This window comes from Homo sapiens, chromosome 6, assembly GCF_000001405.40.
Source record: "Homo sapiens chromosome 6, GRCh38.p14 Primary Assembly".
NCBI classification, from domain to species: Eukaryota; Metazoa; Chordata; class Mammalia; order Primates; family Hominidae; genus Homo; species Homo sapiens.
Window position 1 is genome coordinate 101846034 of NC_000006.12, and position 27442 is coordinate 101873475.

General features: G+C 34.4%; 1 protein-coding gene across 8 annotated transcripts in view; it reads left to right on the forward strand.

The window, feature by feature from the left end:
- Positions 1 to 27442, forward strand: part of GRIK2 (glutamate ionotropic receptor kainate type subunit 2) — a 676376-nt gene that overhangs the window by 452326 nt on the left and 196608 nt on the right. For all 8 annotated transcript variants that reach the window (XM_047418681.1, NM_021956.5, XM_047418682.1 and 5 more), the window contains one exon: positions 13254 to 13460. In XM_047418681.1, coding sequence (XP_047274637.1) covers positions 13254 to 13460 — 207 coding nt within the window. The remainder of the gene's footprint in view (positions 1 to 13253; positions 13461 to 27442) is intronic.

Sequence of the window (27442 nt, forward strand, 5' to 3'; positions counted from 1 at the left end):
GAGTTCTTTATATATTCTGAATAGTAGAATATTATCAGTTATATGATTCACAATATTTTCTCCCATTCTTTAGTTTGTCTTTTCATTTGTTTGACAATGTCCTTTCATACACAAAAGTTTTCACTTATGATAATGTCCAATTTATCTATATATTTTTTGTTGATTGTATTTTTGGTGTCATATCAAAAAATCCATTGCCAAATCCAAAATCATGAAGTCTTACCTATATATTTTATTGTGAGAGTTTTATAGTTTTATCTTTTACATTTAGATCATGATAACTTTGGATTAATTTTTTGTGTACTATGTGAGGTAAGTATCAACTTCATTCATTTACATGTAGATTTTTAGTTGTCCCAATGCCCTTTGTTCAAGAGATGATTCTCATTATTTTGTTGAGAAGTTTTACATCTGTATTCTTAAGGGACATTGGTATGTAGTTTTCTTTTATTGTGAAGTCTTTTCTGGTTTAGTATCAGGGTAGTGTTGGCCTGAAAGAATGGACAAGAAGGTGTTCCCTCCTGTTTTATTATTTGGAAGAGTTTGAGAAGGATTGGTGTTGAATTTTCTTTAAATGATGATGGAATTCATCAGTGAAGTTATTTGGTTCTGGGATTTTCTTTGGAGGTTCTGGATGACTGGTTCAATCTCTTTATTTTCTCTAGATATATTCAGATTTTTATTTCTATTTGAGGAAGTTTTGATAGCAGTGTCTCTGTAGAAATTTGTCTATTTCATTGGGGTAGTCTAATTTTTGATGTGTAATTATTTCTATGATTCTCTTGTAAACTTTTTATATCTACAAAATTGGTAGCAAAGGCCCTCTTTTTTCATCTGATTTTTTTTGCTATTACTTTTTTCTTGATTGGTCTAGCTAAAGATTTGTTAATTTTGTTCATCTTTTCAAATAATCAAATTTTGGTTCCATTGCTTCTCTCTATTTTTTTTTTCTGTTCTCTCTTTTATTATCTCTGAGGTAATCTTTCTTCTTTTCTTCCTACCTGCAGGTTTAGTTTGATCTTATTCTTCTAGGTTTCTATGGTGTAAATTTATGTTACTTATTTGAGATTTTTCTTCCTTTTTAATGTAGATATATACAGCTGTAAATTCCCTTTGAGGGACTGCTTTCACTGTATCCATTGAGTTTTAATATGTTCTGCTTTTGTTTTCATTCATCACAGAGCATTTTCTAATTTCCCTTCTAATTTCCTCTGCAACTCATTGGTTTCTCTCAAGGCCAGTTTCTATTAATTTCTTTGTTCCTGTCAATGGGCTGTACTTTCTTGTTTGTATTTTTCACTTTTTTTTGGTTAAAAAATGGGCATTTTAAACAGTATAATATTGCAACTCTAGAAATAAGATATTCCCCTCACCCAGGGTTTTTTGTTTACTGGTTATTGTAGTTCTTTGTTGTTTAGTGACCTTGCTAAATTAATTTTGTAAAGTCTGTATTTTTTGTTCTGGGTGGCCACTGAAATGTGTGATTGTTAGGTTAGTAGTACCTTAGTAACTTGACAGAGATTTCCTTAAACTCCTGGAACAAAACAACAAGAAACAAAACCAAACTTCCCGTCTTTGTAGTTTGGTTGTATATTGGGGCACTCCTTTACTGTTTAGCCAGGCAGTTTACAATTCTGCCCTATTCTTCCTTCCTGCTTGCATGGAGCCTGAATCTAGCCAGAGGTAAGGGCTTAGGGTCTTGTCAGGTCCTTTCTGAGCATACATCCCCCACTGGTTATGTGCATGGACTGCTAGATTCCCTTGACTATACGGGAGCTTGTCCCAGCTCTTAGTGCCCCCAAGTATTTCCTCCCTAGTCTTTCTGTCTCAGGCTTTCAGGTCAATCTATTTCTTGCCCCTACTTTTCCCTCTTACCCACCAGGTGGCAGGTAATATATTTGCCTTTAAATGCTTACAAAAAACACCACGTGTGAAGCAGCTTCAGCCTTAGGGAAGCTCCTTATGCAGATGAACCAATGGCAAGTCCTTGAGCCCATCCCTCTGGGAGCCACCACACAGGTTAAAATACGTAACAATTCTGTAAGAATAAGGTCCATATGGTTTCCTATGGTGTGTATGACCTGCATCAGGAATGCAGGCTACTATCTTCAAGACTGTTGTGGAGCTGAGGAGTATCAAATAGTATCAACAGGGTAAATTAATATGCCACAGAGCTCTCCAACCAAGATTCTGTAGTTTTTCCCTTCACTAAACATTTCCTTGTCGTTGTAAGTTTTTATTCAATTCTAGAGTTATTTAAAAATTGATTCTGATGGTTTGCCAGTTTATCAACTGCTTCTATGGCTGCTTTCACACTATAATGACAGAATTGAATAGTTGTGACTATATAGTTCATAAAGCCAAAAATATTTACTATTTGGTCTTTAAAGGAAAAAATTTGAACCTCTAGTCTACATATCTATATTCAGAATTTACATAAAAACATTTGTTTCATGAATGTATTAATGACTAAATTGGTGGATGAATGGATGAATGAATACATCCAAAATATTTATATTTTAACACGAGGTATTCCAATATAGATATCTACATGCATCTTGTTAAACTTCAAATAAAAATTTAGAAAATCATGGTAATTTATTGATCATCTTTGGAGTTGCTCTTTTCACTTAGAGGTTACTATGGAAATACAGGAGTGGCGGTAGTCAATTATCAATAAACATGCCAATCAAACACATATATTACTACTGGGGATCATTCTCATGGTGTTTATAAGCTGTCCCCCATCCCTTGATCAAATCATACTGTATGTGTGCTAAATCTACCCAAGAGTGTTGCTTATTAGAGTAATGAGTTGATAACATTTTTGTGAGAGAAAAATTTATCTTTGCTGAAAATCTTCCTTTATTCTGCTTGTATTTCTTTGTAAGCATTAGTTATATTTCTTGGGTGTTTTTCATCATTTGAGAAGAATACCTTTTACCCATAATAAAAGTAAACCTATCCATGAAAATTTTATCTAATAAAAATTTTTAGTTTAGATGCCTGAAATCAAATAAAAATAATATTAAACAGGGTTGAAAAGAATGTTAAAACAGGTAACTAAAACTTGCTGCCTTATACTATCTAGTAAAGCAGACTTTCCGAATGTTTATCCTCTGTGCTTGGATGAGAGGACTGCAAGTGAAGATTTGGGAAAATTCAAGTAAAGCATGGTCTAGGTAGAAAGGGAAACAAAGAAAAACCCCCAAACCAAAACTAACCCAACGAAAAAGGGCAGAGGGTTATCCTTTGTTCCATCTCCTTAACATTGCTGTCCATAGTAATACCTTTCATCCTTAATCTCCCTTTTAAAAGTGTGACTGTCCCCTCTGCATTATCCTGAGCACCTCTTGAGCCCTTAGGGGGAAATATGTTGAGGTCTGTTTCATTTTATTGTTGTTAAGGTGTAAGTCTGATAGTTATAATGAACCAACTCACCTTCCTGAAAAGCATAATTGTTCCACTATTTCTGTTGCCCATTCATCAGCCTTCTACTTTCAATCAACTTAACATCTGCCTTGATTTCCATACTCTATAAAAACTAGATTGCCCTCTTACTAGTTATGATTTAATGCCTTCAGTAAGAGGGCAGTAATAAGATATAGAGACTGAACACACTGCTCAGAAAATAGAAGGAAATAAATTATTTTCAGGAAAATATGAACTGCTCAGTTTTGTTTCAATTGCCGTAATATTACTTTAATCTTAGATTATTTTTTTGTAACCATTATGTCTTTTTCATTTGGCCCATAGGGATGCTATTTAAAAAAAGGAGGGTTTTTTTTTTTTTTTTTTTTTTTTTTGGTCAACCCTATGTTCATTAAGGAAAAAAAAAGGCACCATTAGGTAATATTTTCTAAATGCATTGATATCTTTAAGAAACTGGAATTTCAGCTGTTGCCACAAATAAACTTTACAAGTTTTTTAGTCATAAGGATAAATTCAAGAACAAGACTGGGGTTACCTGAATATACCTGTCTATTTTTCAAAATAAATGATTTGTGGGCTACAGCATCCTGTGTTCTGAGATTCACCACAATGCTCTAAAACAAGACACATGTCCCTGTTTCTCAAAAACGTAGCCTGTGAGAACATTCTGCATTCCACTTCTGATAACTAATGAAGCAAAGTAGACGTGTAAATAAATACAGGATAATATATAATTGGTAGGGATTTCAAATTCACCACTAGATTGGGAGTTTCATAAGGGCAGGAATTTTTCTATGTTGTTTTGATTTGTTTTTCATTGTTCAGTGTTGTATACCTAGCACCTGGAAGAGTGTTGGGACAGAGTAAGAGTTCAGTGTATGCTTGGGTAAATACATTGGTTTATTTATTCTTATCATTGTAATAGCAGGGGATATTTTATACATATCACATTAAAATTAATTTACATTTTAATGTCCCTATGTTTTAAGTAGCATGAGTAAGACACTGATATCTCAGGGTTAACATATGAAAAAGATAATTGAGCCCTAGATAAGAGCTGAGAGATACATGAGTTATATGCTTTAAACATTATTAAAAGTTTTATTATATTTAAATAAAACATTTTTATACCCTCAACCTTAAAATGTATTTTACTTTTTCAGAACTTCATTTTGGATTCATTCTGTGCCAACTCCCAGTCTAATGCAGATAAAAATATATGAGTTATTGGGTTCCTTAAAACTGGGGTTGATAGTAGAAATGCTGACAAATCCTTATTACAGATGCCAGTGGAATGAAGTGCCTTTACCTCTAGCAAATGCTGATGTGGAGATTTAAGACTATATGAGAAATCAGTTAAGTTGCCCAGGAGAGTTTTATCATATTATTCAATGAACTTGGTATGTGATGCAGTAATTGCTTTTGGTACCATTTTTCTTCTCTTACGTGAGGTTATTATTTATCCTTGTACCGTGTGAAACAGAGAAAGAGAGCTTAAAGGAGAGTCATAACTTGATGTAAAACTATCCCATGACACAGTGTAGCTGGAGATAGGAATCAAAGCAAGAAAACTGCATCTTACTTATCAGAATTAAATATGGGAAGAGTAATATTTGACATTGTGGAGATCCATAAATACTAAAAAGATGCACTCAGACCACAAATATTTTTTTCTAGTGATGTGCAAACCTGTTGAAGACATATATCTAAGTAGGTTTTTTAATCTCAGAGGGATCAACAAATTTATTTGCCTATGACAGAAGTTTTCTTATTAGCTTTAGGTGAAGGAAATCAAATTAACAGGTAGGAGGCTAGTAGGACAAGTTAGAGTAATAAGATTTAAATAGCCTAATAACTTTTACAATTATATTGCTGTTTTCACTTATTGCACACATATATCCCTCATATGCTTCACAGACTCCTAACACCAACTTTGATTATATTTTATCCAGTGTTCAAGTCAGTTTCTGTGAAAAATAAATAAAAAGTACTTAGGAATATAATTTAATTTAAAATAGAGACAATTATAATTTAACAATGCAAACAGAAGAAAAAGCATTTTTAGATAGTCATATGTTGCTACCTAAATCTGATTAGTTTAATAGATGTTATTTTTATAAATTCTTAAAATACTTTATGTTAAAAAGGTGTGCTTTTATTTAGAAATGAGATGATTTGTCAGGTAGAAAATGAATTTTGTGTATTTTATATTTACTATTTATTTTCTTCCATAAAGTTGTCTTGATGGCATTGTTCAATAATTAATACCATTTTGCATACAATATAGCCCAGTGGCTAATCCCAGTTAACTAAAAAAAAAAAAAGTCATACAACAGGTGTTTAATTATGTAATGAACTATTTACAATTTTATATTCACATGGAGTTTGGAAATGGTCAGTAAGAATTATTTAATCAAGGAAGTATGGGAGGGATGGGTAAGTGGTCCAGCAGTCAGCCTGGCTGAGTTGTATACTGGCTGTTGACTATGGGCAAAAAAAAAAAAAAAAAATCTTAACACCCTTTCCCTCAGTTTTTTCATAATAGATATAATATTACTGACCTCATGTAGTTGTTATGGAGAATACAATTGAAATAATCCAAGTAAAGCATTTAGAACAGGGTTTGGCACATAGTAAGTGCTTGGGAAATGTTAAACATTACTATTGCTTAGTCATGGGGATTGGCAAATTGTCGATCTTTGTTCCTTTTAAGTAAAACAAAACAAAACAAAACAAACTCTGTATTTGAAAATCATAACCTAAATGAAACAAAAGTATGAAATCAATAGAGCTAATTTACTATACCTACATGCTTTATTTTTTTCCCATTCCACCAACCCTGTATTCTCAGTCTTTCCCCTACTCTGCAAGGGAATATGATATTCTCCTCAAGTCCTTAACCCTCTACACATGGGTTAGTGACTTGAGGATTTGTTACCATCATGCCCGAGCCTCATAGTGGAACTTACCTGTCTCAATTTTTTTCCTTCAAGTTCAGGTTTCCCTGGCTTCCCCGGTTGACCAGAACAATTCGTTTCTATTCAATTCATTTCAGCAGTCATTTTATTGGTAAGCCTGCTATGAGCCAGGGGATGTTTGGTGCTTTTGAAGCAAAATTAAGTAACCATTTTGCCGAGTAAATCGCTCAAGTCTAGTTCAGAAGGCTTACATATAAATCATCACCTACTACTTGGTATGATAAATGCTATGGTAAAAGTATTCAAAAGTTGTTGCAGGAGCACCAGAAAAAGAAACACCTAAATATGTCTGAAAAGTGAATACTCAGTACCAGAAAGCTGTTTCACCACAGGGCTTCTTCCCTTTCTAATATAACAAGGGCATATAAACTATGATCTATGGAAATGTGTTATCTACTTGAAAGACTAGCAGGCCAGGAAGAGTAGTGAGGCAAAAGGGTATGATAACCTCTTGGGTGGAAGGGCACTACATCTGTTACATTTGCAGTACTTTGTGTACCCCTGGGGAATAAAGTTTATATGTGATCAAATGTTACATAAAAATCAGACAAGATCCTAACTGTTCTTTTACTTATGTTAAGCTCAAATATGTAGCTTTGGATGTAGTTAACAGATTAATTTCTGATTCCCATCTGATTCAATTTAAAAATCCAACATATACGGTTTTCTCCCAGACGATATTACGATGTAGAAAGCAACCTAAAATAGTGGGAAAAGTAGGTATTGTGGAAGTTGAAAAACCTAGGTTCAAACCTCTTATTTTGTTGCCTCTTTTAGTTGTTCTTTACCTCTTCTTAGCTATGTGACCTGGGAAAATTATTTAACCTCTTTGAAAATTTAAATGTCAAATGAAAATAGTCCCAATAAGACTGCATTGAAACATATGAAAAAATGCTTAACATCATATGGCATTAGGGAATTACAAATTAAAACAACAATGAGACATCACCGTATACCCTCAAGAATGGCCAAAATCCAGAACACTGACAACACCAAATGCTAGGAAGAATGTGGAGCAACAAAGCCTCTCATTTCTTATTGGTGGGAATAGAAAACAGGGCTGCCACTTTAGAAGACAGTTTGGCAGTTTCTTTCAAAACTAAGCATACTCTTACCATATGATCTTGCAGTCATCCACCTTGATATTTACCCAAATAAACCAAAAACTTATGTCCACACAAAAACCAGCACATGGATGTTTATAGCAACTTTATTTATAATTGCCCAGACTTGGAAGCCACCAAAATTTTCTCCAGTGGGTGAGTGGACAAATAAACTGTGGTATATTCACACTATGTAATATTATTCAGCAGAAAACAGAAATGAGCTATCAAGCCATGAAAATACATGGAGGAAACTTAAATGCTTATTACCAAGTGAAAGAAAACAATCTGAAAAGGCCACATTCCAACTATGTGACATTCTGGAAAAGGCGAAACTCTGGAGCTACTAAAAAGATTAACGGTTGCCAGGAGTTAGAGTGGGGAAAGGAATGAATATGTAAAAGCACAGAGAATATTTAGGGCATTGAAACTATTTTGTATTGATACTACAATGGTGGATGCATGCCATTATACATTTGTCAAAACTCATAAAATAGACAACACCAAGAATGTGCCCATAAGGTAAACTATGGACTGGGAGTGGTAATGATGTGCCAGTGAATGTTCGTCTGTTGTGAACATGTACTGATTTGGTGCTGGATGTTGATAGTAGGGTAAACTAGGCCTCTAGGAGGGGTAGGGAGATATGTGAAATGTCTGTACCTTCTGCTCAGTTTTGCTGTGAACCTAAAATTGCTAGAAAAATTAAGTCTATTAATTAATTAATTAATTTGAGACAGTCTTGTTCTGTTGCCTAGGCTGGAGTGCAATGGCACAATCTCGGCTCACTGCAACCTCCACCTCCCAGGTTCAAGAGCTTCTTCTGCCTCAGTGTCCCAAGTAGCTGGGACTACAGGCACCTGCCACCACACCCGGCTAAGTTTTATATTTTTAGTAGAGATGGAGTTTCACCATGTTGGCCAGGCTGGTCTCAAACTTCTGACCTCATGTGATTCACCCACCTCGACCTCCCAAACTGTTGTGATTACAGGTGTAAGCTGTGCCGCCCAGCCTAAGTCTATCACTTAAAAAAAAAGAATCATGAAAAATTATTGGGAAGCTGAAATAATGAAATTATGTTAAGAAGCTGATTTTTGCCAGGATTTTTTTAATTAATTCCCCTAACAACTTTAAATGTATTGTTAAATATATTTAGAAATTAGAAAATTGAGTTATAGAAGTAACTAATTTATCAATAATTTATCCAATCAGTATTTACTGGGCACCTACTATATGCTAGGCATTGTATTAGGCATGGAAGATATTATAATGAGTTCATATAAATGTTATATTTTAGGAGAGTGAGACAAAAACCCAATAGTAAGCCAACAAGTAAAACAATTGAAAATGACTTAAGTACTGTGAGAAAATAAATAATGAGATAGATAATAACAGAGAAGATTCTCTTTAGATAGAACCAAAGGAAAGATTTTATATTTAACTTGAGCCTTAAAGGAAGCAAAAGAGCTCACCATTTGAAGAGCATTATAGACAGATAAAACAACAGGTAAAGGGCTTTGAGATGGAAAATAGCTTTGTATTTTTGAATCTGGGAGAAAACAGGATATCTAGACCTTAAGGAAAAGAAAATAGAGTTGGAGAGAGAAAGGTAAGTTTTAAGCCTTTATGATGAATATTTTATTCATTTAACACATGTGCCTTGAGCACCAACGGCTTGCCAGTCATTTTCTTCTATGCACTGAGATAAATTAATGAACATAATCTCTAATTCCTCTATACTCATGGGTTTATGTCATAATAGGGGAAGAAAGAATTGCACATACATCAAAAGATAAATAAACAAAACTTCAGATGGGATGAGTGCTATGAGCAAAACAAAGCAGGGTAGAATAATGGAGAGTACCTTAGAGGAAAGAGGTAACATATATATGCGGTTTCTTTGAAGTGGTGAATCTTGAGCATAGGGTTAAATGACGAGAAAACAACCATGTGAAGATCTTAAGATAGATCTTCCCTGTCAGAAAAATCAATCAATCAATCAATCAATAAAAAGGCAGTGCAAAGAGCCAAGACGTGGAGTTAGAAACAAATCTGGCAAGTTTGAAGACCAAAATGAAGGCCAATGCCTGGAATAAAATGAGAAAGAGAGGGAATAGAAGCTAAGTTCAAAGAGAATAGGCCTTGAAGACCAGCATAAACAGTTTTTATTTTATTCCAGTTTTAATGAAAAGCCACTGTTGGGTTTTAAGCAAATGCACAATAAAAGCAGATTTAGTTTTTACAAGATTGCTACGACTTTCTGGGGAGAATGGACTGAGGGGGGGCAGAAATGGAAAGTAAAAGATGTAGTTACAATAGGAATTCAGATAAGAAATAAAGGCTACATGAGCCATGATTCTAGCAGGGGACAGTGTAAAGAAATTAGTAGAATCAGTATATATTTTGAGGGGAGAATTTGCAGGATTTACAAAGGATAAAACAGAATTTGAGAATGATTGCCTGGCTTTGGACTTAATCAGTTTTGTGAGTTGTGAAGCCTTTCACCAAGATGAGAGCAAGTGGTAGAACAACAGGTTTTAGGGCCCATGGCAATGATGTTGAATGTTATTCTAAACACATTGGGAATCTATGTGATGATTTCAAGTAGTAGTGGGGAGGTAATTCAATGTATCCTTCAGTAAGATCCCTTGTGTTTCTCTGTATCAAATGAGCTAAAAGAAAGGGAAGCAAAGATGATGACTCACAAATCAGTTTGAGTAGCAGAGTAAACGATGGTGCCATTTTCTAAAAGCAGAGAAAACTGAAAACATGTAAAAGTTTTGGGGAAAACAAGAATTATATTTGGGACATGTTAAATGTGAGCTGTAATATAATGTCTATGAGACATAAAATCATGCTGACAAGTGCTATTGGATACGTGTGCCTAAGACTTGCAAGAAGTGTGGGCCTAATATATAAATTTTGAGGTCATCAGGATAAAGATGTTATTGAATTTGATGTGTGTGGATCAGAAAAAAGTAGGAATAAAATTTAAGAAAAAAGGTTAGAGCTCATAACTAATTTTAGGAACATAAACATTTAACTGAGGAATTATAATAATGGACCATGGAATTTGGGGCCAGATAATGAAGTGAAGTCAGGAGAGGATTGAGAAATAGTAGGGAAACGTGAGTTCACTGAATTGGGGGTCTTTATGTGATCGAAGAGCACAGGCGTGGGTGTGATTAAACAATGAGTTGGATGAGTGGGTTGTTAGAAATCCTAACTAATTTTCTGACAAATGCAGGCTGCAGTTTTGACCATGCGGAAGAGAGACTAGACTTCAATGAGGGAAATAATTTGGTAATGAGTAAATAAAAGAATTAAGAGATCAGCTGTATTGGATACTTCATGTAGGTGGATTTTGAATATACCGAGAATAATAAGAATTTGAAAAAAGAGCAAAATTACCATCCAGTAGTCAAATATTTGAAAAGTAAAGGCTTCTCTTCCTACTTAATAAAACTTTTGAACCAGATTTCATTGAATGACAGCAATTGTAGAGAGAGAGAGCCTGGTCTAGCAGGGTGGAATGAGTCTCAGAGGAGCAGTAGTTACTGCACAAGGCAGGGGAAAAAATGGTGTGGGGACAGCAATGAGGGGCAGGGAAAACACCAAATGTGCCTCTGTCTCCAAGGGATGTGGAGGTAAATGAAAATAGTCTGTAGGAAAGAGAGCTGAAGGCTAAGCAATGTCATCAGGGTACAGTCCAGCAGAGCAGGGAGATAAAATGGTCATTCTAAAAATCAGGTGAAGATACGAAACAACGTGCCAATCTCTGACCAGGACTTCTCTAACACACAGTGGCAGTGTTTAGAAAGGGTCAGAATAACAGGAGGTGAGGCTGCAGGGTGCATACAACTGTATAGAGATAAGGTAAGTCCACAGAGATGGGAAGGAAGATGAAAATAATCTTGATTATTTCTTAGTTGAGTGTGGGCAAGCTGACACATGGCTGTCATGTCTAAAACTCCTTTAGGATAGCTCTCATGGGATGACTGTTGTTCTCCAGGGGTTGGGGAAGAGGGTGAGCACATTCCTAGGTGGACTGGCATGGGAGTATCCTAACTTTTCTCACTCTGTAATAGCTTCCTCTAAGATAACAGGGGCTTTGCCCATAAGCAAATAGTGAATAGCAGAACCAATTGTTGCACCTTGGTTTATTCATAGCAGCACAGTCTGCCATACCATGTGCAAGTGCCTTCGATAAAATGTGCTAATGCATGGAATCTTTTTGCACTTAGTTAAACATACAAATTTCTCATAGGGCCTAATTTGCAGAGCCTCACAAAAATTGGCTCCTCACCCCTTTTTTATTCAGATCTTGTTCAACCAACTCACTCACTTACTGGATGTGACTTCTGTCACACTGTTGCCAATTATCCTCTTCCTGAAACACTCCAATATTATGTTGGTCTCAGGGCTTTTTACCATGCTGTGTCCTTGGCTTGAAATACTCTGTTTTCAGAGTTTCAAGTGTCTAGACTCTTTCTCATCTGTTGGATTATACTTCGTCTCTTACCTTCTCTGAAAAGACTTTCAGGAAATTACTTAATTTTGTCTTCTCTTATCTTACCGAGTACCTTGCAGTTGTTTTCTTTTCTATTGACCTATTTTATGTTTTTATACCACTTAGGAGGATCTGATAATATGTGTTGTATTTGTTTAGGCATTTGTTAACTGTTTTCTTCTCTTTATCATGAACTTCATGGCTCAAGGATTTCTATTTATATAGAGGAGGGCTGGCTCACAATAGGTGCTCCATAAAATTATGTTGGATGAATGCATAAGCACTTGATAAAGATCACTTTCTTCCTCTCTCTCTCTCTATTTTTTTTTCTTTTTTTTTTTTTTTTTTTGAGACGGAGTCTCACTCTGTCACCCAGACTTGAGTGCAGTGAGCAATCTTGGCTCAGTGCAAGCTCCGCCTCCCGGGTTCACGCCATTCTCCTGCCTCAGCCTCCTGAATAGCTGGGACTACAGGCGCCCGCCACTACGCCCAGCTAATTTTTTTTGTATTTTTTAGTAGAGATGGGGTTTCACCGTGTTAGCCAGGATGGTCTTGATCTCCTGACCTCGTGATCTGCCCGCCTTGGCCTCCCAAAGTGCTGGGATTACAGGTGCAAGCCATGGTGCCTGGCCTTCTTCATCTATATTTTAAAGTAAACTACTACTTTTTAAACTATAATTAAATATAGTAGTTGTAATTTTCATGGTTGTTGGGACAAAATGTGATTATATATATAAAAAGTCCACACTCCAGTTCTTTGCACATAGTAGGCAATTAGTCAGCAATTTTTTTCATTAATTTTATCCATAGATCCCATGGAAACAGCATACCAGATATTGATTAAATGATATAATTCAAATTGAGGTATTATAATCATGGTGAAATTAGATGTCGGATATGATGTATTATATAGCATATATTACATATCACATATTATTGGTTATATATAATAAGATTTATGGCATAAGATATAAGATATACCATATTTTTGTTATATAGTCATGGTGGGATTACAATAGTTAAGTTTTTTTTGTAAAGCACTACTATTTCATATAAAACCTGAATTTTCTTTTAATATTCTAGACTTCATTAATTATAATTAGAAGAAAATAAAGTTGACTGTTGTCCTAAATTAATGAGAAAATTTCTGTCTTCTAAGAAAAGCAATAATTCTGATGATGAGTTTCATGATTAACTGTTACCTCTTTTCTTCTTTTTCAATGTTTTCAGGAAGAGCCTTATGTCCTTTTTAAGAAGTCTGACAAACCTCTCTATGGTAATGATCGATTTGAAGGCTATTGCATTGATCTCCTCAGAGAGTTATCTACAATCCTTGGCTTTACATATGAAATTAGACTTGTGGAAGATGGGAAATATGGAGCCCAGGATGATGCCAATGGACAATGGAATGGAATGGTTCGTGAACTAATTGATCATGTAAGTCCCTTCCCTCATGATTTATTAGTTTGTTATGTTGCTACAAGGTTTACTCTTTTGTTGATGTATATGAAATAACTACAAAGAGTAGTGATATATTTCAAGCATGTATTTCCTTCAATAATTTTATTTAAGCTAGATAGTATTTGTCACTAAATGTAAAGAATCTAAGAGGGATATATAGCCCTATATATGTAAACAGATTAAATTTTCCACAGGAACTGAGAGATGGAACATTATCTCTCTTGATTATTACATTTCAAAGAGATACTTCCCAGGTCCTTGAGAAAGGCTTTCCTGGGCCATAAAGTTGGCAAGAGGCTTAATTAGCTTTTAAAGGAGTTATATACATTTTTAAACAGAGAGGGAGAAATGACCTATGAGTTTTTAAAGTAAGTATTCTAAGAAAAAGGGGTGAGGAGGGGTGTTTCTTTCCTTATTTTCAGTTGGAAGAATCAGGCCTTTTTTTAGAATTTAGTATTTAATTAGTATTTAGTATTTTTAATTAGCTCTTGCAATTGCAAGTCTTTGTTATTTTAGAAATAACATGTTTGTCACCTTCTTATTCTCCATCCCTCTTTCTTAAGAGGACCTTAAGCATACAGGGTTTGGTATGATCTTTCAAATTCATTATGATCTAAACAAGATGGTTCTTGGTGGTACAATATGAAGATGCAACTTCAGATAGACATCTTAACTTTTAAAAAGTATAATTTATAAATTTAGAAGAGGAGACTTTGTTTCTTACAAAGGGTTGCAGCATGCACGGTGGCCATTCAGACAGGTTGGGAAGCATAGTCTCTGGTTGGAAGCCAAAAGCAGATACTTTGAGGGAGGGGCAAAAGGAACAGGAATTTATGCTAAGCAAGATGGCTGAATATATATATTATATTTTCCCCAATGGGATATAGGAGAAGTCATGAATATTTATGAAAGGAGAAACTTGTGCATGAACATGAACATGCCTCTCCATGGATTCCATGTACAAAAATGGTGGCATTAGCATGGTGTGAGGGTGGAGTTTTCAGCCCTATGGCATCAAAAAGTGAAGCACAGGACATGAAAATCCTTACTAAGCATTCTCTGAAGATGGCTATAGCCATTCAATGGTCGTGGTCTAACAGGCAAAATAAGGAAAGGCAGCATCAAGGTTGGTTGATATCACTGGTGAAGTCTTTCGAAAGGGCTGTTTTCTGTTTTCAGTGGTGAAGTCTTCTGAAAGGGCTGTCTTCTTTAGGGAAAAAAGTCTAAAGGCAGTTAGTGAGAGGTTGGTGTATAATGAGGCCTCCTGTCATGGCTGAGAATACAGTTTTCAAGGTTACTATGGGGTTCCCTGGGCAGGGAAAAGGTCCATTCAGTTGTTTTAGGGGCTTTGGATTTATTTTTATTTCTCAGATATTAGGAGAAAGTGAATTTCTGAGGCATTAGGTATTGTTAGTCCTTGAAAAAAGACCTTTTCCCTGAAAACATCATCCTCTCTTCTCCACTTTCCCATACTCGGTAGGGCTCCATAAAATAGTGTGCTCGTGAGCACTTGGTAAGGCAAAGGTGAGTTCAAATCCTAATTCTTCAACTATGCAGTTGCATGCCTTGAAAACACTGCCTTAAACACTTTGAAACTTAACTTTCTGAAACATAAGATAGAGATAAGTTATATCATTTTAATAATTAGGAATGATATATAGGAATTTTCTAACACAGCGTCTGACATATAGTAGATAATCAATAAATAGAGATGTAACTAATAAGCCCAAACTTAGTGTCTTCTTACTTGTTCTGTCTTCTACTATAGTATTTATGAGTGTTTGTGTTGAGGGCTAAAACATAAACATTTAGATGGTATTACAATGAGAAATCTGTAGGGACTATAGCACTATAATTATTAAATTTGAATTTAATCATAGTCAGTGAGATCAGTATTAAGTTTTAGTAGTGAAGTTTATTAACTGGATCCTTTGCTGTCACAAATATACCAGTGCTTTCCTACCTAAATGACCTATATGTTGTGAATGGCAGTTTTATATTAAGATTAATTAAACATAGAGAAGCATTAGTAGAGAGTCAAATTCACTGTTCGATCAACAATAGGCAAGATAAAGAAAAACAAAACAAATAATATTTAGGGTACAACAAAGCAGGGACACCCTTATTTTTTTGAAAATTACTCTTAATATTAAAACAAACTCAAAATAGTCATTATAGATAAAATCAAAACATTTTTGGACCTTCTTATACTTAGAGTTTGATATTTCGCAAATTTGAATTACACATACAGGGGACAAAGCTCTTGACCCCTAAAGTTTTGATGAAAATCACTGATAATGAGGCTGATTAATTAATAAGAGAAAATACATACAAATTTATTTAACTTGTATATACAGGACCCTTCAGAATGAAAACTCAACTTCCCAAAGAAGTACAGAAGCTTATATTACTATCTTGAGGTTACAACGAGAATGGGGGCTTGGATCCTGGTAAAATAGTTTATGAGAAGGCAAAGAGAATAAATTTTATGGAGGGGCAATAAATGATTACAACGGAACAGAAATTAAGTTGTAAACAGTTTCCTTTTTTTAGAACTTAAATGATGCTTGAAGACAATGATTATCTTGCAAAAGGGTCTGTTCAGATGTGGTTAGATTTTTTGTTTTCTTTCCTGTAATGGATAATGAGATTACAGGGAGGGAAACAAGAACACTTGTTCTCCTAGGCAGGTAAATTCTGACTTTTTGTAGATAGGAAAAAAAGTCTCTCCTAGTGATCATCGATTCCCAAGAATTTTTAACTTAAAATACTCATTATACCAGGAAGCCATATTTTGGGGTGAAATATTTTGATTTCCTTCACATGTAAGACTGAAAGTGAAGAGATTCATTTTCTTTCTTAAATCTTTGAGGATCTTACTCCAGCATTTCTCAAATACATTTTATTCTCCTTATATTTATATATTTTTAAGAGACGGAATCTTTCTGTGACTTAGACTAGGGTTCAGTGGCATAATCATAGTTCATTGCAGCCTTGAAGCCCTTGGCTCAAGCAGTCCTTCTGCCTCAGCCTTGTGGGTAGACATGCTAACATCCCTAGCTAATTATTTATTATTATTATTATTATTTTAGATATGTGGTCTTGCTATGTTGCTCATGCTAGTCTCAAACTTTTGGACTCCAGGGATCCTCCTGCCTTAGCCTCTGGAGTAACTGGGATTATCGACATGAGCCACTGTGCCTGGCTTCAAATACACTTGAAAAAATAAATTTTGTGGAAACTCATAGTTTGATACATTTTAAAATGTTAATAATATATGTCCTACTACAGAAAAAATATGGAAGCAAACAATCTATTTTGTTTTTCCTTTATGTACTAATAATCTACTCTTTCAGTCCTAGCAGATTTTCCATTGGGCTGATCATCTTTTGAGTTTTTATGATGATTGGTGATTGATGACTTGAAATTTTTTGGTTAGCTATAAAAAGTTGATAACTTTTGAAAGTTATCAAACTGATTTGAATCTAAATTAGGATGCTATTTTATCATATCAGTTTGCTGCATTCATAATCTTCTGTAGGGGCAGGTTGAAAATAAATCTCAGATCTGTCCCATCTTTAGTTTTTCACCGCCCATGTAGCTCATACGTTTGCCATTTTATTATGTCTCTATTATATACTTCCTGCCTTTAATATCATCTCCAGGAATGCATATATACATTTTAGTCAGATTTTCATTTAATCAGCAATGTTATCTCAAAGCTTTCTCACTGAAATCATTGCAGAGATACTGAAAGATTACAGTATATAATTTCAAGTACTCATGTTGGCCTTTAATTTCTTTTTCATAGTCCCCTGACACCTGATGGTTTGCACAGTCCTCAGTTCTTTCCTCTTGTCAACTGTTTAATGTCCATCCCCAGAGTTCTCTGCTGGGGCTGTACTCCAAAAAGCTTTTTGTGCCATTTTATTCTTCTGAAAAGCCTACTTTCTTCGACACCTATAAAACTACTACCTCTGGCACTTAATCATAGACATTCCTTATTACTTGAAATTCTTTGTCCTTTCATCTTTCACACAGACTAATCCCAGCTGGAGGCAAAATTTCAGAATATCCTTAAGCCAGTGTTCTGCTGGTGAATCTCTGACCTACTGTCATAATGCTGATAAAATGTGTGAGGGAATACTGAGTACTCACATTCAACAGATCTACAGTTACTTCTTAACTGTGCAAATTTGGGCACCGTGTGTCTAACTTTTCTCTTTCTCTTACTCTCCTGTGTAGCTTTGGGAAAGTTTCTTACTCTGTCTTGAGTGACTTATATCATTTATACAATGGGAATAATGATACTCACTTCATTGAATGAAGATGTGGATTGGCCGGGCGCGGTGGCTCACGCCTGTAATCCCAGCACTTTGGGAGGCCGAGGCGGGTGGATCATGAGGTCAGGAGATCGAGACCATCCTGGCTAACAAGGTGAAACCCCGTCTCTACTAAAAATACAAAAAATTAGCCGGGCGTGGTGGCGGGCGCCTGTAGTCCCAGCTACTCGGGAGGCTGAGGCAGGAGAATGGCGTGAACCCGGGAAGCGGAGCTTGCAGTGAGCCGAGATTGCGCCACTGCAGTCCGCAGTCCGGCCTGGGCGACAGAGCGAGACTCCGTCTCAAAAAAAAAAAAAAAAAAGAAGATGTGGATTAAATGTTAATATCTGAGAATAGAGCAGGACTATAGCCTTCTTTAACTTAGTTAAATACATCAGTGAGACAGCAGAGTTTGGGTATATTTGGAGGAGACACAACAGAAGGAAAAACGTAATGACAGGAAGTAGGAAAAATTTAAATGCTTCAGGACAGTGATGCAGATCCCTCTGTAGATATTAGGCCCCTCATGCTTCAGTGTATGAAAAGCTCCTGGCACTGATGGATAATCTCATGCCTATAAATACAAATTTTTCCTTTTTAAAACCTGAGCCCTAGTCAAAAAACTGCTACTTAACCTGGGTTGCAACTAAAGAAACAGCATACAAACAGTTCTAAGACTGAGCTACTTAATGGGTTTTCAAATCAGATTTGAGAAGTAAACTCTAAGTTGGGACATGAATGCATTGCATAGGCCTTAATGTGCTGAGTGGCAAATAGGAAATACTCAAGAAAAGTAGTTATTATTATTATTACTATTAAAATTATTATTATGGTTAATGTATCCAAAAAGGTGCCAATGTTTTTGAATGTTGCTATATTTTGTCTATTCAACCCCATGAGCTAGTTTACAGGATTACTGTTGAACCATGATTATATTTAAAACAAATAATTGACTAAATGTGTGCTATAATGTTATCAGAGAAAAGGGGCATTTAAAAACAGATTTTTAAAGCCACATTATCCATTCCTTTACCCCATTAGAATTGTGTGGACTATGAGAAGTTATCTAAATAGTAACATTTAAAGTTTAGCTCTTTTATAAGTGCCAAACATCTTTACAACTTCTTTGTCTTTAAAGAGATTTGTGTTTTAATATAATTAACCATTTGATGTAGGTAAAAGAGTGCATCGGGCAATAAATGCTTACTTTTTAAATTATGTTCATTTTTGTAGCTTCAATTGTGAAATTTGAGAAGTAAACAAAACTTGATCATTTGACAGGTTTTCTTAAAAAACCGGAATGAGAAAGAAATTCTGTTTCAGCTTAGAAAACAACTATAGTAAAATGGGAAGTCTGTTGGAATCTAATTCAGTATTTTACATTATTTTTAAGAAGACTCACGATGCCACAGATTTCCAGCTGTCTGAATGCTTCCCAGCTTGCTGCCTTGGCATTGCAATTGGTATTTAATATTATCAAGCCTTTTATGATTCATAAATGAGCCTTGGAGGACCTCACTACACTTTGCTTTTGCCTCCTGATTGCTCTTTTATTATATGTTGGAAAGGAAATCAAATATTTGTTTTTCAGGGAACTTAAAAAGGCTCCAGGTATTATCACAAAAATGGAAACACTAAATCAAAAGCAGTTTATTCTAAATGGGAATTGACTTGCACAGCCATAGCTTTAAATTTTGACAGCACATTGTTTAATTTTGCATCCTAGTTGAGGAACTCTAGTACTTCTTGTGAAAATAAACAAAAAGGCTAGGCGTCGTGACTCACACCTGTAATCCCAGCACTTTGGGTGGCCAAGGTGGGCAGATCACCTGAGGTTAGGAGTTCAAGACCAGCCTGGCCAACATGGTGAAAACCCGTCTCTACTAAAAATACAAAAAAGTTAGCTGGGTGTGCTGGTGCACTCCCGTAATCCCAGCTACTTGGGAGGCTGAGGCACAAGAATCACTTGAACTTGGGAGGCAGAGGTTGCAGTGAGCTGAGATCACGCCACTAAACTCCAGCCTGGGCAACACAGTGAGACCCCGTCTCAAAAAAAAAGAAAAAAAAAAAAGAAAGAAATACAAATAATAAAAAAAAATTACAACCAACAACAACAAATAAAAACTGTTGGGGAGTAGAAACACTATTATTATTGTATTTTTAAAATGTTGGCAAAAACAACTAAAATCACAAGTATAAATTTATAATTTCCTATGACCCCAAAGTGACAACTATTAACATATTTGTTAACTTTGCTTCAAGTGTCTCTTTTAATGTAAAAGTTATAAAATATTACAGATAATGTTGAAGTGCCTTCCTCACCATAATTGTCTTGATTTAGTATTTTCCACATCAGTCATAAAATATAAAACTACATTTTCCTCATCCCTCTCCAGGTGTAACCAAAATTGTTCAATAGTACCATGTAACAGGATTATATCATTTTTATTTAGTCTTCTACTGATAAACATTCAAAATGCTATAATTGAAGATGCACATCTTATCTTCCATAGCACCTATGCAAAAGCTTTTCCATAATATATGCTTATTTCACATTGCATGCCTGTAGTAAAACATCTCATGTACCCCATAAATATGTGAAATATATGAACAAGGAATTGTTTATCATAGTTCATGTATTTTCTTTCCAATTTTGTTAGCAACCTCATCCGAAAAACAAATTTCATTAGATATTAAAAAGATTTTTCTCCAAAAAATTTTTACTAATTTACATTTCTACCAATAGTTTATAAGAATTTCTATTCCTCTGCAAAATCATTAGTACTTGAGATTAGACATTTAGACTAGACTATTAGAGTACATTAGACTATTTGAATTTGGTCAAATAGTCTGGGGACAAATAGAATCAAATTGCTTTAATTTTCAGATACTCATAACTAGCCATTCTTTTTCTCCATATTTATAGGCTTTTTAATTTCCCCTTCTTTGAATTCCCCATTTACTTCATTCCTTCTTATTAACATATAGTAATTTATTATATTTTCTGAATGCCTATAATGCAAATATTTTCCCCAGCTAAGACTTTATCTCTTAATTTCATTGTGTGTGTGTGTGTGTGAATGTGTGTGTGTGTGTTTTCATATAGAAGTTTTAAAGTTTTAGTTTGTCACATTTAGTCATTTTTTAAATGGCTTGTGATGTTTGTGATTTGTTGGAAAAATTCTTTTTTAACTGAAGCTCAAAAAGATATTTTCCTATTTTTTAATATTCTTAATGTTTTTGTTTCTCAGATTTAGTTCTTTCATCCACTTGTGGTTTGTTTATTAAGTCCATACTGATTGGACCTCAACTTAAGTGAAAGCCTGAATTCCTTTTACGCCCTTTCTGAAGCAGTACCTCCCCCCAACACACCAAATTCTGCTACAACATGTATGCCAGTAATTTTCTCTTCTTTGTAAAAAAGCAACTTGAAAAGCAAGTAATTTTTACTTTTAAGGAGACATTCTGTGATTATAATCTCAGACGATAGAGACATTAGGAATTATGAAAAGTATATAACATTTTTTAAAAGGGCTAATATATTTTTAAACTTTTTTTCTCAACGTGAATTTAAACAGTGAGCTGTTGAAGATATAAACAAACTGGTTTCAGTGACAAGGATATTTTGAAATTTAATCCAGAAACATGGTCTATCACAGATCAGTGTAATTCTGATTTATGCTATACTAGATTATGATTCATTAGAAATTATCCCAGGATAGAGCCTCAACAACCATTTATTGAATATATATTCTGAGAAACACACAGTAACCACAGCAGTAATAATAGTTCTCAAATATAAATGACTATATTTTATTAAAAAAGGTATGTTAAGTGTTTAATTTTTCTTTCAGTACTAATATAATAAAGAATGTCTTCTCATGCAGTTCCAAAATTAATATTATGTTTAGAAATATTTATATATATTTTTAAATTTAAATTTTTTTTTGCTGTGATGTATTCTGAGAATACTTAAAAGAAATTGTTTCCCTAATAACAATCTTCTGCTAATTTGCTATTAATTGCAAAATTATAGCAAAAACCAGAGCTAAGGATTATTTTATTTGGCAATTGTATCATGAATTATTGAATAAATACCCCCAATGTACACTATTAAGTTCCTTTAAATATGACTTCTGAACTTAAGCTACTTAAAATGTCTGTAAAAAATGTTTTGGTCATAATTTGAAGATTGAGAGAAAGTAAAATACTAAATTGACATTATAGAGACCTCTATAAATGGAGACTTCTGGACACTCCTATCCATCCTATTAATAATTTTGCCCCTACAAACTGGAAGCAACTAATTTGTTATGCAGTACAGAGCATTGAAACTTTTCCTTACTGTAGTCAGGAAATGCTTCTTAAAAAAAAAAAAAGCTTCAATGTCTTCTTAAATAAAGAAAAACAGTTTGGAGTAGAAGAGGCGTGAAATTGGGAATTTCATCGCTCAAACAAAATGTATGTAAAAATGAAAATAGAAATATAAATTAAGGGCAAGGGAATTCTGTGAGGAAGCATGTCCAAAATCTAGTATTATTTAAAGTCAGTAATAAAAATTTTGTATGTAATTTAAATAGTAAATTTACAATGACACTATTGAAGCAGTGGGCCGAAAAATTTGTTTATCTGTGGTATATGGAACATCTGTGTGTTATTAAATAATAAATACTGATTTGCATCTATTACTACCATAACAGCAGAATAAATGTAACTGAAAACAGATATAAAAAAGTGGCTTTTTTAAAGGTGATATTTTCTTTAGAGCATAGAGCAAATCTAAACAGAAAGACAAAAAAGCCCCACAAAACTTTAAAAAATTAAAAAAAGGAAAATCATAGCATGAAATGTATTAATGCTATAGAAATTTGTTCAGTGTGACTGGATTTTCCTTTCACATTAAATTGCATAAAGTTTCTTTTCAAAGTAAATTTGAGTAATAGAAATTTCAGAAAAAAATTGCTCAAATAAGATATTCTTCATGATATTCCCATGTGGAAAAAAATTCAGTATTATTCATTAAGCATTTTTGTGCCATTCACATTTTTAGGTACTGAGAAACATACAAACCCTGGGTGAGATGAACATTAAATACATTTTATATACTTTAGATAGTACAACAATAGAGATATTCTGAAAATATTTTGGGAAACATGAGGGAGTATATCTAATTTTGTCAAGGGAAAGGGTCAGGGAAGTCTTTAAGCTTGAATTATGAAAAAAATGACAGATGCTTTTTCAAATACACTATTTTTAGTGCTGCAGTTCATTTAATTGAAGCACGTATTCTACCTGAGGGATGTTATCTTATGTAACACCACACGTGACCAAAACGGTGTACTTGGTCAGGTTTATTTAAATATTTTGAAAGCCAATTCAATTTAAAATGAACTGATATGATTCAGACAATTTGCGGAGGGAGAATTAACATAAAGAAAGTTTTCACATCTTTTCTCCTAAGAAGAAAATAGATCTAGTTTTCTCAATTAAGAAGAATTTATTGAAAATGTATTGGTATGCTAATATGTAATTACACTAACATTAACCACTGTTGTTTTGTGCCAAAATCATGTGCCTTCATCCATATAATTTCCTGATCACATCTAATTGCATTTTAAGGTTTTGTGGCTCTTCTAGGAAATTCAGTTTGCAAAAGATATGGCCACTGAACTGGAGTTTATTTTTTACGTATTTTATTATGATAGTCATCTGATCAAGTCTTTTGTATTTTTTAAACATTATCCAATTTGGATCATTGAAAATCAGAAGTAATGTCTGTGGGACCATTATAGAGCAAATAGTCTCACTGTCCAGTGTGCACAAAACACTGGCTTTTGAGGAAAAAAGGGCTTTATTTGCCTTTTTTCGAATAGGCAAGTAGTCAGCAAGGAGACAGGAGTGGATTCAAATCTGTCTCCTCAAGTTAGGGACCCCTTGCTTCTGAAAGAGTTTTAGTATTCAGGTTCCAGTCATGTCCCAGTTTTACCGGTATAGAGGGGAATATTGATTGGTTTTGGGTGTTGTTAGAGATCAAAGCTTTTTCTATTGTGCATGCCTAGGCTACATGAACTGCAGATTTTGGTTTTATTATATCTGAAAGGTAACTCAACATTTTGTTACCAACTAAGCAGGCCCAATTTGGGCTAGTCCAGTAGGTACAGGACTTATTCAACTAAAAATTCAATTATGAATTTATGTGACAGTATTTAGTTTAATATTAAACAGCATTAAACTATCCTTTATGTCCTTATATTTTCACTTCCATGAAAATGAATGATTTTGATACCTTGTAATCTACTAAACTATCTTTGTTCACTGTAGATTAATTTGCTTTTACCAACATTTAGATTTAAAATATTCTCATTTTACTTTGTGGCTTTCAATACATACATCATTAAGGTCCTTTCCTAGTTAGAATATAAGCTGTGGGAGGGCAGTAACTATATCTCTAGGACTTAGCATGATGCTTAATACACAGTAGAAAATGAGTGTTTGTTGAATGCATAAATCCTGTTTTTCCATCCAGGCCAGTTTGTCCAATTCAATGTATAAAACTACTTATAATCAGGAATATGCCACAAATGGATTTTCCCAAGCATTATATTTTATTGATGTACATGTTTTGTTTCCTCTGTGTAGGTGTCAATGTCTTGTTTGAGGCAGGAATGATTTGATTTTCTTGGTATCTTTCATAGCACTTGCCACAATGCTTTACACGTAGTCAAGATGGTCAATAAATATCTACCAAATAAATGGGTAGATATAAATTATCCACCTACCCTTTTTTTCTTTCCACACTAAAGGAGTGCAATTAACTTTACATTGTACGTGTGATTACTTGAAACCATAGCTATAATATTATCACACTTTCCTTCAGAAAAAAAAATTGGGTAAAGTTGGTAAACTTATTAACAGAGTTTTGAAGTAGAGCACTATGTCATAGCTATCGAATAATAGATAAAGGCATTCTGAAACACATAATATTTAAAACATAGACTCATAAAAAGTCATTTTCAAGTATTTCTTAAGCAGATACTGTCAGATATATTGGACGATGAGATAATTTGAGAGCACGTGTTCTGAAAAACAGGGTAAGACACTTGGACAAAGAAGTTTTATCTTTAAATCCTGCAAAATAAACATACACAAAAATCAGAATTTTTACCAATTATATTGGCGTACTTCAAATGAGATTTGATTACCTATATACACTATCAAAAATAGCATTTTTGTCAGGCAGGAGCAGAAAGGAAATATAGTACATGCTGTAATAAAAGTATAATCAATATAAAAGTAAAGATTTTAGCATCAGCATGTGAAGAAAAAGTCATCCTGGGCAACACATGGTTTATCTTTTAAACATCTTAATAAAATCTTTTTGGATGGATCATTTCTAGAATGTATTACATGTATTTACTCTTTGAAAGGACAGTGAGAATAAACCAAACTCTAGATGAAAATTTCATGTCTGTTTTGATGCTTTCATAATCATTCTATTTATATATTTATTTTTTTAAAAGTATTTCATGAAGTGTCTTCTTTTTCTAACTTTTATTTTAAATTCAGGGGTTACATGTGCAGATTTATTAGATGGCTATGTTGTGTGATGCTGAAGTTTGGAGTGTGCATGATCCCATAACCCCGATAGTGAGCATCACACACAGTAGGTAGTTTTTCAACATTTGCCCCCTTTGCCCCAACTCTAGTAATCCCCAGTGTCTATTGTACTCATCTTTATTTCCATGTGTACCCAATGTTTAGCTCCCATTATAAGTGAGAACATCTAATATTTGGTTTTCTTTTTTGGCCATTAGTTCGCTTAGGATAATGGCCTCCATCTACACACTTGTTGCCACAAAAGGCATGATTTTGTCCTTTTTTATGGCTACGTAGAGTTCCATAGTGTAAATGTACCACATTTTCTTTATCCAATCCATTGTTGATGAGCACCTGGGTTGATTCCTTGTCTTTGCTATTGTGAATAGTTCTGTGATGAACATACAGGTGAATGTATCTCTTTGGTAGAACAATTTATTTTCCTTTGGGTGTAAATCCAAAGGATTTGGTGAGTCAAATGATAGTTCAACTCAGTTCTTTGAGAAATCTCTAAAATGCTCTTCACAGCAGCTGGACTAACTGACATTCCCACCAACAGTTTATAAGTGTTCCTTTTTCTTCACAGCCTTGCCAATATCAGTTATTTTTTGTTGTTGTTGACTTTTTAACAATGGCCACTCTGACTGATGTGAGATGGTATCTCAATGTGGTTTTCATAATAATTGTATACTTCACATTGCAATCACCCAGGAATATAAAATTCGTGTCTATCCAATTTCTTATTCATGGTTTGACCTAGAAATGTGGCCAACATTAACCCAGTAACCATTTACTGTATTAGTCCATTCTCACAGTGCTATAAAGAACTGTTTGAGACTGGGTGATTTATGAAGAAAAGAAGTTTAATCGACTCACAGTTCCACATGGCTGGGGAGGCATCAGGAGACTTACAATCCTAGTGGAGGGGAAGCAAACATGTCCTTCTTCACATGGCAGCAGCAGGGAAAAATGCTGAGTAAAGCAGGGAAAAGTCCCTTATAAAACCATCAGATCATGAGAACTCACTCACTATCATGAGAATAGCATGAGGGTAACCACCCCCATGATTGAATTACCTACCATCTGGTCCCACTCACCGAACATGGGCATTATAGGAACCACAATTCAAGATTAGATTTGGGTGGGGACACAGCCAAACCATATTACCATCAGTTTTATTCTTTCACCTCTTTGTAGGTTCAAATGAGCACTCATCAATAATTCCCCCTTCCCATCCCCTCTGAATAGCATGTACTCACCTCACATTGTATCTCATCTTTTTCATCTTATTCCCTATTATCATTTACTTACTCCATAATTCCTCACATAAATTATGTTTGTTTTCTACACAAATATTAAATAGATTAAGTAATTTTATGTCTGTTTTCAATGAGAATTTAAATCCTTTGAAAGTCAGAATTTTAAATTATAGGTTGATAATAAGCTGATTTATGAGCCGAGCTTTATGAACTGAGAAAAACATTGAACATATTTAAAGCAGGGTTCACTCCTTAGCAGAGCTGCAAATGACAGTGATACCATAGTGAAGATTTCTTGATTCTGGTTCTGAATCTTAGTTATATAGGTCCCCAATGCTTATTATGCATTTATTTAGGAAGTATTGAGGTAGTTAAACACAAGTGATTTTTAAACTGGACATTAATTTTTTTTAAATTATACATTAAGTTCTAGGGTACATGTGCACAACGTGCAGGTTTGTTATACATGTATACATGTGCCACGTTGGTGTGCTGCACCCATTAACTCCTCATTTACATTAGGTATATCTCCTAATGCTATCCCTCCCCCCTCCCCCCACCCCACAATAAGCCCCAGTGTGTGATGTTCCCCTTCCTGTGTCCAAGTGTTCTCATTGTTCAATTCCCACCTATGAGTGAGAACATGTGGTGTTTGGTTTTTTGTCCTTGTAATAGTTTGCTGAGAATGATGGTTTCCAGCTTCATCCATGTCCCTACAAAGGACATGAACTCATCCTTTTTTATGGCTGCATAGTATTCCATGGTGTATATGTGCCACAAT